Genomic DNA, 16,857 nt, shown 5'->3' on the forward strand with positions numbered 1-16,857 from the left:
TGAGATACTTATTTCATACATTTTTTTTCTCAAACCTCTTCCTTCCTGAATGATAAATTTTAGGGGTATTCCAGGATTCAATGTGGGATCCACACTTTCTTTCTCTCCCTAGGTGAAAACCCCCATGCCAACAGCTTGCAAAACAATCTCCCGGCTGATGACTCCCATATTCCTCCCTGTAGCTCTGGCCTCTCTTCTTAGCTCCAGGTCCATGTGTACAATGACCTTCTTCCTATATACCCACTGGATAAACCCACATGCATCTCAGACCTCAACTCCTGATTTCCTCCTCCAAACCTGCTCCAGAAAGGGCAACATCATTTACTCCATTGCTCAAGCCACATATTATGGGAGCCATTCTCAGTTCCTCACTCAAACAGCTCATCTTGGGCAATCCACGCAATCTCCAATTCAGGCAAATTTCTGCTATTCCATGCCTCGCATACATCGTCCTCTCTCCATTTCTCCTGCCACTATACGAATCGAAGCTACCATCGCCCCATGCCCGTGGCTTCTGCATTAGCAGCCTCATTCAAACTCCACTTGAAATTACTCAGTGTTGGCCAGGCGCGGCGGCTCACACCTGTAATCCCAGCACTTTGGGAGGCCAAGGCAGGTGGATCACGAGGTCGGGAGACCGATATCATCCTGGCTAACACAGTGAAACCCCGTCTCTACTAAAAATACAAAAAATTAGCCAGGTGTGGTGGCGGGCACCTGTAGTCCCAGCTACTCGGGAAGCTGAGGCAGGAGAATGGTGTGAACGCAGGAGGCAGAGCCTGTAGTGAGCCGAGATCACGCCACTACACTCCAGCCTGGGCAACAGAGCGAGACTCTGCCTCAAAAAAAAAAGGAGATTACTCAGTGTCTCTCATCAACTCTTAAATCCAAACTCTTTGCTCCACCTAGAAGCACCTGACTTGACCTCGATCTCTCCGACCTTGTCTCTGGCCACTCTCTCTGCTCTACTCCAGCCACACTGACCCCTTCACTTCTGGAACATGCCTCAGGGTCTTTGCAAGTGTGCTCCCTGTGCCTGAAATGCTTATGTTGGGCTCTTTGCTGGACTGCATCCTTATCCCTCTAGACTGGATCTTGAATGCTGTCAACTCAGAGAACTCTTCCCAGACAATCCTATGCCTCAGTAGCCCCCTCCCCAACTTTGTCTATCACCGTGCTGCGGTCATTTTCTTCATAGTACTCATCAAATTTCTAAATTAAACAATTATTTGATTGATTACTTGCTTAATCGCTGCTGCGCCCACTAGATTTTAATCTCTACTTGGGCATAAACCATGACTACTTTATATTCAAGGTATATCCAGACGCATGGGAAGCATTCAGTGAGTATCTGCTGAATGAATGAATGAATGAATGAATGAATGAACGAATGTGCCATCATCAGGCGGCCTGCAGTCACTCTCATACTGCTCCAATAAACCCTTTTAAAACAAAGGTCCAGCAACTAGCTGTCTGACTGTACAACATCTGTAACATGAGAAATGGAATCCACACAGCATCCCACACAGGTCCCTGAGGCAATGGGGTACTGCCCCTCAGACACCCTCTCGTGCACGTGAGGTCATTTGCAAAGTTCACTTTGGTAACTTTCTCTCCTTCTCCCTGCTCCATGGGAATGACCACACAGGAAGCAACTGGTGCCTCCCTCCGGGTCTGGGGCCACGCGAGCATCTCTGTGGAATTTCCTCCCTGAAGGTGATCCTCTGGCCTGTCAAACTGGCACTTCCTAATGGCACTTGGCCTTGGAGGCACTATTAAAGATTCATCATGTGAACTCTAATTTAAAAGCCGCACGCAATATGCTCTCAAACAAACATTGAAAATTTCGAGTTCACTATGTTGAAAGGACCACAAGGGTCCACTCCTGCCAACTCAGTTTGTCTTGATCCTGCTGCGAAGTCAAATTCTCTGGCTGCAGAGAAACATGTACATTTGCCTTCAGAACCACTGTGGTGTCACAGATCGGGGCAGTGGCCCCCTGAGGCATCCAACACAGTCCTCAACCACCCATTTTCATACAGCTCTGCAGTCAAGACACATTAGTTGTCACCCGAATTGTGCCCATCTTGTCTCTGTTATATAACAAGCAAACTCCAAGGCACAGTCTGCATTTCACATGGGCCTCACAGCATTTACAAAGCTCTGGGAGTCAGGAAACCTGGCCTCAAGCATCAGCTCTGCAGATACAAGCTGCAGGAGCCTGGCAACTGATTTGTTATCCTGGAGCCTCCCGTCATTTTTCTGGGAAAGCCCATGGCAATATCAGGCACTCGTGGTTGTTGCAAGGATTGCAAGAGATCAAATGAAATCCAAAATACGATTATCAAACAACAATATGAGATGCTATGTAGTATTAATAGGACTAAAATAAATTGATTGACTATAGCTGTTCGACCAATCAAAATCTAAGGACAGTACAGACACTACTGTTTGTTTGCTTTGATAACCACAAATCATGTGTGAGGTGGGGAAGATGTGCTCTGATTCTGCCTCAAGGCTGTGTATCTTGGAAAAGGAAGAACTATTGAAAAAGGAAAGAATACTCTTACATCTACCAGAAGGGTGGGGTGGGGGTGGAGGGGCGGATGGAAAAAAACTCCTCCAAACACATTATTCAATATGCTACTGCTCTTCTTGAAGGGACCATATCCATTTTTCAAAAGAGACTACCCCTATGAAACAAATTATGTCTCAAAATTTAGCACCAGAAAATGATTCTCTCATGAAGAATCAATAGGCTTCCTTGGATAAGACAATGGCCACTCTTACAAAACTTACCTTATTCTCCACAGTTGACTTAAAAAAAGGGTTAAAAAAAATAGGAGACGTTAATCTTTTTTTTTCTTTCTTTCTTTCTTTTTTTGAGACGGAGTCTTGCTCTGTGGCCCAGGCTGGAGTGCAGTGGCACGATCTCGGTTCACTGAAAGCCCCACCTCCCGGGTTGAAGCAATTCTCCTGACTCAGCCTCCCGAGTAGCTGGGATTACAGGCACGTGCCACCACACCCAGCTAATTTTTGTATTTTTAGTAGAGATGGGGGTTTCACCATGTTGGCCAGGCTGGTCTCGAACTCCTGACCTCAGGTGATCCGTCCCCCTTGGCCTCCCAAAGTGCTGGGATTACAGGTGTCAGCCACTATGCCCAGCCAGACATTAATCTTAATATTTTATTTAACCTAGTATGCTTAATATATTAGCATGTTAACATGTAATCAATATAAAGCATTACTAATGAGGCGCTTTAGTTCTTTTTCTCATCTTGGTCTTCAAATACAGAGTGCATCTTATCATTGACAGCACATCTCAGTTTGAAGTAGCCACGCTTCAGGTGCTTAAGAGCCACATGGGCTAGTGGCCACCGTGCTGGACTGTGCAGGTTTCAGTATTTTCTAAACCTTTACATCAGACTGAGAATGGAGTTGAGGCAGACAGCCCAGGAAGCTTTGCCGTAATACAGGCTGGATAAATAGCAGCAGGAGTTAGTGGCAGCAGAACTATAGAGAACCGGATTTAACTGGATGTGACAGTGCTTAGGAAAGAAGAAAACATTTATTGGGCAACTAGGATACCCAGGTACCATACTGACACTTTCACACGGCCTTAATTCACTCAACTTTTACAATCCATCTGTGCGACTCCACTTAACAGAGAAGGGCACTGAGGTTCAAAGAGGTTAAGTGGCTTAGGTCCCACAGCTGTAAGAGAGGCACTGGGAATAACCCCAAGATTTCCAGCTTCAAATTGAATGTGCTTCTCTCAATTTGGTAGCAAAGGCCTCCAAAATCGGATCCCTGTCGACCTGACCTTTCCAGCTTCATACCCTGGCATGGTCCAAATCACACCTTCTAATCCAGGAACACCACATGGGCAAAGCTGCTATGCGGCCTCACACTTCTCTGCCTTTCCACCTGCTGCCTCTTTTAACTGCTAGACTTTCCCACACCAACTCTGCTTTTCCCCATGGGGAGCCTCTAAGTCAGTGGTTCTCAATAGGGGGTAATTTACCCCAGGGGACATTTGGCAATGTGAAGACAATTTTGATTATTAAGACTGGGGGGTTGGCGGGGCTCAGTGGCTCATGCCTGTAATCCCAGCACTTTGGGAGGCTGAAGTGGGTGGATCACCTGAGGTCAGGAGTTCGAGACCAGCCTGGCCAACATGGTGAAACCCCATCTCTACTAAAAAATACAAAAATTAGCTGGTATGGTGGTGCATGCCTGTAATCCCAGTTACTGGGGAGGCTCAGGCAGGAGAATCACTTGAACCCAGGAGGTGGAGGTTGCAGGGAGCCGAGATCGCGCCACTGCACTCCAGCCTGGGTGACAGAACAAGTCACTGTCTTAAAAAAAAAAAAAAAAAGACTCAGGAGGGTGGGATGCTACCAGCATCGGGTGGGTCAAGGTCAGGAATGCTAATAAACATCTTACAAGGCACAGGACAGTCCCACAACAAAGAAGGATTATGCCCCAAATGACAATAAGGCTGAGACTGAGAAAACCTGGTTTAAGGCAAGCACTTCTTCAGAGAGGACCTTTCCCTCACTGAAAGGTTCCAAGGATGTTTCAACCAAGCACATGCACAAAAGATGACCTGCAAATTCACTGTGGTCATCTTTATCTTTTCCTCCAGAGTCATCTCCCTTGGCTTGGGGAAGTGAAGTGCACTGATCTGCATCCCAATGAGTTTTCTTAATTTCCACCCTTTGTATTGTTGCACACAATCTGGATTGTACTTTAAAAGGGCAGGAACTCAAGTTTAATTGAGCCACAGGCAGGCAGGTGGTGTGGACATTACTTCTAGCATAGAGATCTCTCTGGGGTGACACAGGTACAGAAGCAAATGGGAGGAAAGAATCGAGAAGTAATCAAAATTTTCCACTTACAATATTAACCTCTTTCAACAATGCATTGCCAAAGAGGTCTTTAACGCAAATTTATCTTTCCTGAGGATATACATTCTTCCCAAGGTCAGACTACAGCTTCAAGAAGGCTGGTTTTTATGTTTTTCTTCTGAATGTTAAATCAGCCCTTAATCACATCCATGGGACTACCTATGAAGCCCTGCCTTGGAGTATTTCGATCTTTGTTCTTCCGATTTTCATTCTGGAAACGGACGACGTAAGCAGGCAGGCCTCACATTTTCATTCTGCTTAAGCAAATACACATAAGCATTTCACAAGGACCAATACTGGGAAATGCACTCTGGCATCCCTTAGTGTTGAAGGGTCCTGACTTGTCTAACGTGCAGTGTATTGTTCTTCCAAGTTCCAAGGCCTAGGGAGATTTCATACAAATATCTCTGGTGCCAAATGATACAGGGAAGACAGCTATTGCTTTACCTTTTCTCTACGCTTTGCCATTCACTACAGTCCACAAGGCACCTACTGACTGGGGTACATGCTAGGCCAGGTCCAGGGCTGGAGAATGGGGATGCAGAGATGGTCAGCACATGGGCCCCTGCTCTTGAGGGGCCTCAAGAGAGTGTACAGGATAGTCAGGCAGACACAAACACCACAAACATGAACATAAGTTGGGAGCCAGGGACACATGATTCTCAGGAAAAAATGAGCTGAGCCAGAAGATGGCACAATTTCAAAAGAGTGAGAAGGAGAGAGAAGTCATTCCTGGCAGAAAGAACCATTAGAAAAAATGAAAGGCTGGAACCACACAGTGTGGCAACCAACCGCTCCTTCCAGAAGAAAAGGTACAGAGAACACTCAGATAATGGGACTGGGACAGGACTTGAATGCTCAGTGAAGGAGAATCTGAACTTCCTTCCACAGTCCCTAGGGAGCCACTCGAGATTTCCGAGCAGGAATGATGGGATCTGTGCTTAAGACAATCAATGGCCAGGCGTCGTGGCTCACATCTGTAATCCCAGCACTTCGGGAGGCTGAGATTGGATGATCCCTTGAGCCTAGGAGTTCAAGACCAGCCTGGGCTACAACATGAGACCTCATCTCTACAAAAAAAGCATTTTTTAAATTAGCCAGGTGTGGTGCCACATGCCTGCAGTCCCAGCTACTTGAGAGGCCAAGGTGGAAGGATCTCTTGAGCCCAGGAGGTCAAGGCTGCAGTGAGCCATGATGGTACCACTGCACTCCAGTCTGGGCAACAGAGAGGGAGGGAGGGGAAGGGGGAGGGGGAGGGGGAGGGGAAGGGGAAGGAGAAGGAGAAGGGGAAGGGAAGGCAGGGGAAGGGAAGGCAGGTGAAGGGAAGGCAGGTGAAGGGAGGGAGGAAGGAAGGACTAATGACCTTGAGGCCGAGCACAAGAACGGCTTGTTTAGGTGGAGGCCCAAAGGCCAATGTGAAACTTTCTTCTGGGATGCCCTGCTGGGGGCCCTCCCAACAGTCATGCCCCTGTTTTGGGGGGCTTTCCTTGTTAACACATTGCAGATTCAGTCACACAGGGTAACACTATGCTGAGGAGTGGGGCCTGTAGCTGCAGGGGATAAACCATGACTGGTCTCATGCTTTAGAGCAACATCTCCTTTGCCCAGAATTGGTTCAGGGATGACCTGTGACACAGTCTTAGTTATGAGGTGCAATGAAAGGAGAAGTCATCAAAGGGTCACCAAAGCCACCACAGGAGGAAAAGAGTCAGGAAAGAAATTCTTTTAGACAGATGGAAACATGAGTTTCCTCAGGTCACAGAAAAAGTCTCTATAAGGATAAAGCACAGGGACTCTTGATTCCAAGAACCTTGAACTGTACCCCGTGTGATGGTTTCCAACAGCAATGCCCTTTAACCCTTGTTTCAAGATACCCCCTGATTTGAGCCACATAAATATCCTTGTAGTGAGACGGGCTTTTTCTTTTTATTGCAGCAAAATACACATAACATAACATTAACCACTTTAACAAGTACAATTCATGGCATTTAGTACATTCACGATGTTGAGCAACCACTCCTTTATCTAATTCTAAAACATTTCCATCAATCTGAAAGAAAACCAGTCACCTCCCATTTTCCCTTACTCCTCGTCCCTGGCAACCAACATCTGCTTTCTGCCTCTACAGAGTTAGCAGCTCTGTATATTCCATGTATGTGGGATCATTCAACACATGGCCTTTTGGGTCTGGTTCCTCTCACTCAGCACCATGTACCCAAGGTTTATCCATGTTGCAGCACATGTCAGCGCAGTATCCTTTTTTTTTTGGAGAAAGAGTCTCGCTCTGTCGCCCAGACTGGAGTGCAGTGGCGCAATCTCGGCTCACTGCACCCTCCGCCTCCTGAGTTCAAGCAATTCTCCTGCCTCAGCCTCCCCAGTAGCTGGGATTACAGGCGCCTGCCACCATACCCAGCTGATTTTTGTATTTTTAGTAGAGATAGGGTTTCCCCATGTTGGCCAGGCTGGTCTCGAACTCTCGACCTCAGGTGATCCACCCGCCTTGGCCTCCCAAAGTGCTGGGATTACCAGCGTGAGCCACCGCACCCAGCCTAGCATCCTGTTTTACAGCTGATTAATAGTCCATTGCACGGAGAGGCCACATTTTGTTTATCCATTCATCAGGTGATGTTATATTTGGCATGCTTTTACTTTGGGCCACCGTGAATAGTTTTGCTACAAACATTTGCGCGTAAGTACTTGTTTGAGATGAATGCCTTTTCTTAAGTTTACCTAAATCTCTTCGCTCTGCATACATGGGATTTATCTTTGTTATTATTAATGATCCTAAATTTCTAGAATTTAGCACATAAGGTTCTAGAACCACACAAGGAACGGTGGTTATTTCATTATATATGTCTGGCTCTATGGTGGGTGCTTAATCCACCCCAAACTCCTAATATTTGTCTATCATTATTCCACCCATTATTGTACACATCAGACAACCACAGCTCAGGGTAGGTTAAATAATATGCCATACATTACACACAATAGTACAGAGTGGAACCAGGAAGTACCTAGCTTGTAATCTGGCACCCAGCAGCTCTACAGTGAGAAGTAATCAAGTTCCTAGCGACAGTTTGATCATTTTAAAACAAAAGGCCAGGCGTGGTAGCTCATGCCTGTAATCTCAGGACACTGGGAGGCGGAGGTGGGTGGATCACCAGAGGTCAAGAGTTGGAGACCAGCCTGTCCAACATAGTGAAACCCCATCTCTACTCAAAATACAAAAATTGCCAGATGTGGAGGTGTGGTGGCGTGTGCTGTAATCCCAGTTACTTGGGAGGCTGAGGCAGCAGAATCACTTGAACCCGGGAGGCGGAGGTTGCAGTGAGCCAAGATCGCGCAACTGCAGTCTGGCCTGGGCAACAAGAGCAAAACTCTTGTTTCAAAAAAATTAAAAAAAAATTAAAAAAAGAAGAACTAGGGGGTGGTAAGAGGGTACAGTCTACTGTATCTTCCTCTCCTAATTCTACTTTCATGGTATAGAATGCTCACTGGGCTATTGTGTCAGTTTGCCAGGGCTGCTATAACAACAGTGCTACAAATTGGGTGGCTTAAACAGCAGAAACTTGTCTCACAGTTCTGTGGGCTAGAAGTTCAAGATCATGGTGTGAACAGGGCACGCTCACTCTCAAGGCGCTGGGGAAAGATCTGTTCCTGGCCTCTCTCCTAGCTCCTGGTAGGACCTTAGCTTGTGGCAACACAACTCCAACCTTCACGCGACATTGTGCCTGTGTGCACGTCTGTGTCCAAACTTCCCGTTACAAGGACGCTGGTTGTAATGGATTAAGGACCCAAGTGGCTTCAGGATGACCTCAACTAATTGCATCTGCAACAACCCCATTTCCAAATAAGGTCACATTCTGAGGCACTGAGGCTTGGAACTTCAACATATGAATTCTGGAGACAGAATTCAACCCATAACAGTTACCTGCACCATCGAGTAAAAGACACAAGTAAACCACTGTGAGACAGAGTCAAAAAGAGGCATTTCAGTTCCACGGGGTCAGTGATACCCAGTCCCCAGCAGCCCCTGTCGAAGAGCAGTGGGGCTCACTCCAGGCAGCTGGAGGATGGACAGCACGGTCTTGACAGCTGCCACAGGCCTCAACAGTCTGAATGGTGTGAAAGAAGGAGCATGAAGCCAAGCTTTAGGAAATCTCAGTCAGCAACTGACTATGACCCTGATGAACACAGCCTCTCTGAATTTCAGCATCCAAATTAAAATAACTGTGGGTTCAATAACTGATCTCTAACATCTAACACACAACATCTGCTTATCCATTCCAAAACCCATCAGGAGACATAAATCCCTCCTCTGCAGCAGTGCAAAACTATTTAGGGCTTAGAACAATTTCTTGCTTTCCTTGCTGCAGCTAAGAACTTTTAGCTAATGTTCTTGCAGCCTTCAAAGTTACAGAGTAAGTCTCAGGCACCCCGGCCTCAATACAAAATCAAATTGTTCAGATATATCTCACTCACACAACACATTAGACAGATGTAGCACATAGAGTAAACACTCTGGTTAATAAGTGCTAGGTCATTAGTTGTGGGGCTGTCAGTAGAACCCAATAACTGCGATAGCGCACAAAGCTGCCCCGCCTTAGAAGTCAAGCTAAATGCTTTCCATTTTTATCACCCAATTCATAACCTTGTTGTCTGGCTTTAAGAATCAATAGCCTGGTGGTTTTGGTATCCAATAAATTTGTCTTAGTTTGGACGTTTTTCATTTCCCACGTCACTTGAAGAGAGCAGGGTACGGTAAATTGCTCTTCTCACAGGATTTGTTTTTCCAAATCTATAATTTCACACTGACGGCCAGGTGCTGTGGCTCACACCTGTAATCCCAGCACTTTGGGAGGCCAAGATGGGTAGATCACCTGAGGTCAGGAGTTCAAGACCAGCCTGGCCAACATGAGGTGAAACCCCATCTCTACTAAAAATACAAAAATTAGCCAGGCATGGTGGTGGGTGCCTGTAATCCCAGCTACTCGGGAGGCTGAGGCAGGAGAATCACCTGAACCTGGGAGGTGGAGGTTGCAGTGAGCCAAGATTGCACCACTGCATTCCAGCCTGGGCAACAGAACGAGACTCTGCCTTAAAAAAAAATTCACACTGACGTGTTCCAGAAACTAGTGAAAGCAAAGAGGAAAGAATGCAGACAGCAGAAGCCCCATCCAAAGACCAAGGCAGCTTCCAGCTGTGATCACTTAGGACAATTCACTGAACAAGTTCCATATGAGCAAATGTCAACTGGTCTACCCCAGGGTGACCCATCACTCACCTAGCAAATAATACTTATCTAGCACTTAGTATGTGCCAAACCCCGTGCTAAGTAATTTACGTAAGTGACCGCATTAGTCCATAAATTCCACTGCTTTATGCACACACACAAATAGATATACATAAGATATTTATTTCTATATTTAAATAGTACACTGATAAAAATAGAAAGCAATGCCAGCTCCGTGGATAACAGAAAGCAGCAAGAGACTGAAAGAACCAGCACATGGTAAAAGAAAATCAATGTGTGTGTGTGTATATACATATATATATATACACACACACAGACTCAAGATCACTGAATTTAAGCCTGAAAGAGAGCTTGGGGAGGAGGTAGTTCTCTAATACAATGTAAATTATCTGCATGGGGAAAATGAGGCTCAGACAAAGAATTGGCATATCCAAAGTTAGCCAGAGGGCAAAGGATAGAATTAAGTCTGGAGTCCGAGTTCTTCTTTTTGGGTTCTGCTGTTTGTTTTATCCTCCTCCTCCTCAAATCAACTATTTTTAAAAATGTTTAAAGCACTAAAATATGGCAAGGTTCATGACTGAGACGCATTTAAGACGGGAGGGAGAGTAGCCCCTATCCTTTATGTCTCTCCCAGTCCAAATCCACAGAGACAGAACATGGTTATCAGGAGCTAGAATAAGAGGAGAGTGGCAGTGACTGATAATGCATATGGGGTTTCTTTTGGGAGTGAGGAAAATGTTCTGGAATTCGTTGTGACAATCACACAACCTTGTGAAAATACTAAAAACCACTAAATTGTACATTATATGAATTGTACATTTTAAACACACATTTAAATGTGTTGTTGTTTTACATCAGTGACACGAGAACAATGAAGAGTCAGGGCTTCATCACATAGATTAGCTACTACCAAAATAAAGAATCAAATTGGGCTGGGCGCGGTGGCTCATGCATGCAATCCCAGCACTTTGGGAGGCCGAGGCGGGCGCATCACGAGGTCAGGAGATCAAGACCATCCTGGCCAACATGGTGAAACCCCGTCTCTACTAAAAATACAAAAATTAGCTGGGCGTGGTGGTGCGTGCCTGTAATCCCAGCTACTCGGGAGGCTGAGGCAGAAGAATCACTTGAACCCGGGAGGTGGAGGTTGCAGTGAGCCAACATCACGCCACTGCACTCCAGCCTGGCAACAGAGTGAGACTCTGTCTCCAAAAAAACAAAATCAAGTTTAAAAAAAAAAAAAAAGAGAGAGAGAGAGGGAGTGTTCCACTTCCACTCATCACACCCTTATTTTTCCTGAGAAATTTCCAGACCGTAGCGTGTCAGGCCATACACTACAGTGCTTCGGCCTGATTTAATTGGCATTGTAATGCTGTGACACAAATGCTATGGTACTCAATTTACAGACGAAAAGACTAAGTATCCAAAAGGTCAGGAGATTCCCTCAAGATCATATAAAGGGCCAAAAGCTTGTTTTCTAGGTCTCCTATCACAGCACTTAGCAAAACACGTTAATCCACTGGATCTGTTTCTCTCTCATCAGAGTGATGAGAGTCTCTTTGAGCACTATGTTTCTTCAGAAAAAAAAAAAATTTGCAAGAGCAGTTTGAGATTATAGCCAAATCATGGGAAAAGGGACTAGAAGGCTGAGATATTTAAAAATTTGTTTGGGAGGCTGAGGCGGTGGATCACCTGAGGTCAGGAGTTCGAGAACAGCCTGGCCAACATGGCAAAACCCCATCTCTACTAAAAATGCAAAAATTAGCTGGGCATGGTGGCGGGTGCCTGTAATCCCAGCTACTTGGGAGGCTGTGGCAGGAGAATCGCTTGAACCTGGGAGGCGGAGGTTGCAGTGAGCTGAGATCATGCCATTTCACTCCAGCCTGGGCAACAGAGCGAAACTCCATCTCAAAAAACACAAATTTGTATGGAGAGTTATCATGAAAGGAAGAAGAGGTGTCTACTAAAAGTACTCTCCAGACAGAAGAGCAGTGTTTTGTTGTTATTGTTGTTGTTGTTGATTTAATCAAACAAGTATCCATTGTGGCCTACTACATATGAGAAATTGCTTGCAACCCAGCCAAGGATATGGTCGCAGGATAAGAGAATGGCAGTGCTGGTGCCACTGCATGATTCTGACAATCACTGCTGCAGAACGGGCTCTAACTTCCCTGGTGGTTATTGACCACCAGGCTCTACTGGAAGTAGTGGAAGTAGTGGGCGGTAGAGGGAGATTAGAGTGGTCTTTCCTCAATGGGCTCTAAAAAGGACCTATGTGTTTAAAAGGAGCTTCCAAGTTGGTAAGGCCAATCAGTTCCAAATCACTAAGACAATCTCTCTCTTTCTTTTTTCTTTTTCCCCTTTTAGTGCATGGCAGATCCAAGATTACCTCCAATCCATCCTTCAGAGACCTCCTCTTTGGTAAAACCAACTCAGACTCCTCTGAGCTCTCACTAGACTCTGCTTAATTAGAATGGCTTTTCGTTTCGTTTTGTTTAACAACTGCAACAATTGCTTTCTGCTAATGAATAAACCAATAACATTACGACTTGCAGTAGTATTTTCTATCATATACTGAGCAGTATCTTTCTGCAATGCCAAGCTCTACATACATGAGTGCTTCACATACGTTGTCTTACTAAAATCCAACCCTGTAAATTAGTTAATACTATCCCCAATGTATAGAAGAGGAAATAAAGCAATTTGCTCGAAGTCACAAGCCAGTAAATGATGGAACAAAAATATAAACCCAGCAATCTGACTCCAGAATGTCTATTTGTCACCATATGGCCTGTGTATAGCGTGGGAGCTCCTGGAAGTTAACTAAAGAACTACTAACTTCTCGCTTAAATTTGAGGGAACAAAAATGGAAGGTAAGGATTTCTAGTGCCCTAATTCACTTTTTAAACCAGTTCAGAGTTTAGGTGCTCCGGTGCAAGATCAATAATGTATTGAAAAGTTAGAATAAAAGTGGCATTCTACCCTCAAAGAAGTCTGTTCTGCTTTCAGGAGACAGTCACAGGTACTAATATGCACAAAATGAATCTTTATTTTATTTATATACACACATACAGAGTTTATATTTGTACATAAACAATATATATACCATATATTCATACAGTATGTATACCATATAGTATACATACACACATACACATATGTATATACACATATATGTATAATATACACACATAGACAGTTTATATTTGTACGTATTTATACTATATTTGTACAGTATATATACTGTATATTATATGTGTGTGTATATACATATATGTATATACACGTGTATACATGTGTACATGGGTATATACATGTGTATACATACATATGTGTACGTGTATATACATATATGTGTATACATACATATGTGTATATACATATATGTGTATACATACATGTGTATATAGATATATGTGTATACATACATATGTGTATATACATGTGTATACATACATATGTGTATATGCATATATGTGTATACATACATATGTGTATATACATATATGTGTATACATACATATGTGTATATACATATATGTGTATACATACATATGTGTATATACATATATGTGTATACATACATATGTGTATATATGCATGTGTATATGTGCATATGTGTATATATACGTATATATGTGTATATATATACACACACACCCCACTTAAATTAGCCATCCATTTTATGAATTAGAAAACTGAAGTATTCAGATGTTACACAACTCATAAAGTCACTCGATGAGTAACGGGTGAACAGTATCTCACCCCAGGCCTGCCTGTTTCACATCCAGCACTCTTTCTAATACCCTAACCGATTACTACCAGAGTGGCTAGTGTGAATCACCTACCCTAGGCTAACAATGCACAACATGAAAGGAATCAAGACAGGAAGAAACCCAGTGCCTGGTTTCTACAGACCTCTGACAAGTTTAAAAAAGAAACAAACAAAACTGTAAAACCCATGTGTAGTGATCACAGGGCCAACTGGAGGGGAAAAAAAACATAATTTGTTCATTTACAAATACTTTTAAGCTGCTTGTCAAACAAAATGAGTTTGTCTGCCAGATGAGATCTCAATTTTCTAAGTTCATTAGCAGCTGATGAACGGAAAGGGTCACCTGGTGATTTCATAATTTGGCCCTGAATCTTGTCAAAGCCACTTAAAAAAAAATTCCAAGCTGTCAAGAGAGAAAGGAAATGCCATTTTATCTAATTTGTGCACTATTTCTGTGCAAACAAGGGGTAGATATTTAGACATGCTGTATTAAGTTGCCATAACCAGGGCAGGGTGGTAAAAAAATAAAAAGGAGAAGAGGCAGGACTGTTTAAAATGCACAGTACCAGAAGCCACAGGCAGCACTAAATTGCCTGGAGGCCAAGTCTGACAGCATCTTTATTATTTTTATTTTTTTAATCCTGTAGGTAGCAAAAACATGCTTCTAAATTACAAAAATTCCTCAAGAAGTACATTGTCTTTTGGGCATAAGTAGGGCACAGTATTCAGGTGCTGGGAAGACAGGGAAGGTGGCTTTCCAAGTTCTAATAAGGCCCTTCTTAGAAGAAAAAGGCTCTTATTTTTACTATACATTCATTTTATACTGCAAAGGAGCACCAAAGTTCTTATTCAAGCATATTAATTGGAAAAAAGCATCCCCAATATATTCTCTCCAAATTGCTCCACCAGGAGCTATCAAAGTGAGATTCAATATTGCTACTCCCAAAAGGCACTTCTCTTTTGAGGAATTAATTAGATTTGGTCCCTGGAATTCCATCTCAGCCTCTCCAAAGCTGAGACAGGTTACCTGGGAAAGGGTGGACTCTTCTCTCCAAGAGATAGGAAACAGTACAAAATATTCCAACCTTATAAAGAGGTGCCTCAGAAGGAGGTTGGGGACCTCTCTCTCTCCCTACTCCCTCCAGAGGGTCTCCGAGAATTCTCCTCCCTTCAGAGCCTCCCCTCCTGAGGGGGTCCCCTGGCATTTCCCTCAGGTCTCACTCAGCTTAATTCTCACATCCTTGAAGAGCCTTCCTCAGTACCAAATACCTGTCCTGCCTATAACACCATTACAGCTTAACAGTAAGATAGGCTGGGCGCAGTGGCTCACGCCTGTAATCCCAGCACTTTGGGAGGCCAAGGTGGGCGGATCACCAGGTCAGGAGTTCGAGACCAGCCTGGCCAATATAGTGAAACTCCGTCTCTACTAAAAAATACAAAAATTAGCCAGGCGTGGTGGCGCCTGCCTGTAGACCCAGCTACTCAGGAGGCTGAGGCAGGAGAATCACTGGAACCCGGGAAGCAGAGGTTGAAGTGAGGCGAAATTGTGCCACTGCACTCCAGCCTGGGTGACAGAGTGAGACTCCATTTCAAAAAAAAAAAAAAAAAGAAAGAAAAAGTAAGATAATGGTACACATGCACTGTAATAGGTCTTCCCTCTCAGAATGTTTTGCTTCATTCCACGTTAAGTGAATGGCATGCTATACTTCCACGTAACAGCTGGTATTATCTTCTACCCAATTTCAAGCAGGAACTAGAAAAGATCTTTGAGACTTCTGATTTGCTGGTTAACCTAAACCTCTGGAAAAGCACTGGAGAGGCAAGTTTTACAGAATATGGGGCACTAGTTAGACTGGTGACCTTATTCTCAGTGGTGATGTTATTGTCCCTGGCAATAAGTGAGTGCACTGATCAGGACATTTTCCCTACGCTCCTCCTACCAAGACAGGATCTTCATGGGTGATATCTCAATATTGTTCTGAAACAGCTTTTAATTTCCAGAATTTCAGATTTCTACATTTGACACCTGATATAAAATAATATTTCAAAAGCAAATAAAGGTGATTTTATGACCAGTCCTGCCTCCAAACTATCTTCCTTCCAAGTCAACTCCAAAGTCTTCTTCCAGACCCCATTCACCACAGGCTTTCTGCATGAAGCCGTTCCCAACATGTTGCACTCAGCTCAATCAGAATGAGAAAAATCAAATATTTACATCAGCCTTAAAAATCTTCATCTCTCAGTTCAAAAGAACTTAGTGAGAAAGTTACCCCCTCCCTTGACAATTCTTCTAATGCATTCCAGGCAAGCCTCAATACACTGTTAGTGTGTCCTTACAGCCCTTCAACACTTGGTAAGAAGGAACTGAGAGTTTCCATTCAGATAGCTTTTGGCTAGTAGCAGCATCTAGCCAGACTTGAACATGGTTTAGTTCCTGTGGTTCCCTGCTATTTATAGAGAATGACATAAACTTCTTAATATCTTTAATGTATTTAAGTAAATAACAAGGTCTTAAGAAGATGTGGCCAAACACTATAAAGGGATATGAGGATGACAGAGTTCATGAAACCCTGCCCAGTAAAGTCCAGGAGGCCAGAGACCAAGCATCCAGCTGGTTCTCAGCTATGTCCACCATACTTGGTATTATTTGTTGGCTGTGTCCTCAACCAAATCTTACCTTGAATTGTAATAATCCCCACATGTCATGGGCAGGGCCAGGTGGAGATAAGTGAATCATGGGGTCGGTTTTCCCCATACTGTGCTCGTGGTAGTGAATAAGTTTCATGAGATCCGATGGTTTTATAAAAAAGGGCATTCCCCTGCACAAGCTTTCTTGCCTGCTGCCATGTAAGACGTGCCTTTGCTTCTCCTTTGCCTTCCCAGCCATGTGGAACTGTGAGTCCATTAAACTTATTTCC

At 44.0% G+C, this 16,857-nt stretch overlaps 1 protein-coding gene across 22 annotated transcripts in view, besides 2 other annotated features; it reads right to left on the minus strand.

The window, feature by feature from the left end:
* The window catches only part of LARGE1 (LARGE xylosyl- and glucuronyltransferase 1), an 856,162-nt gene that overhangs the window by 704,828 nt on the left and 134,477 nt on the right, over positions 1–16,857 (minus strand). The gene's annotated exons all lie outside the window — the stretch shown is intronic.
* Positions 8,288–8,789: an enhancer, noted in NCBI's record as "H3K27ac hESC enhancer chr22:34175765-34176266 (GRCh37/hg19 assembly coordinates)". NCBI's record gives its function as "activates a minimal SCP1, AML or CMV promoter by ChIP-STARR-seq in naive H9 embryonic stem cells {active_cell/tissue: H9 hESC(naive)}" and the evidence as "EXISTENCE:reporter gene assay evidence [ECO:0000049][PMID:30033119]".
* Positions 11,198–11,698: an enhancer, noted in NCBI's record as "H3K4me1 hESC enhancer chr22:34178675-34179175 (GRCh37/hg19 assembly coordinates)". NCBI's record gives its function as "activates a minimal SCP1, AML or CMV promoter by ChIP-STARR-seq in naive H9 embryonic stem cells {active_cell/tissue: H9 hESC(naive)}" and the evidence as "EXISTENCE:reporter gene assay evidence [ECO:0000049][PMID:30033119]".

The sequence above is a fragment of the Homo sapiens genome, chromosome 22 (assembly GCF_000001405.40).
Source record: "Homo sapiens chromosome 22, GRCh38.p14 Primary Assembly".
In the NCBI taxonomy this organism is placed as follows: domain Eukaryota; kingdom Metazoa; phylum Chordata; class Mammalia; order Primates; family Hominidae; genus Homo; species Homo sapiens.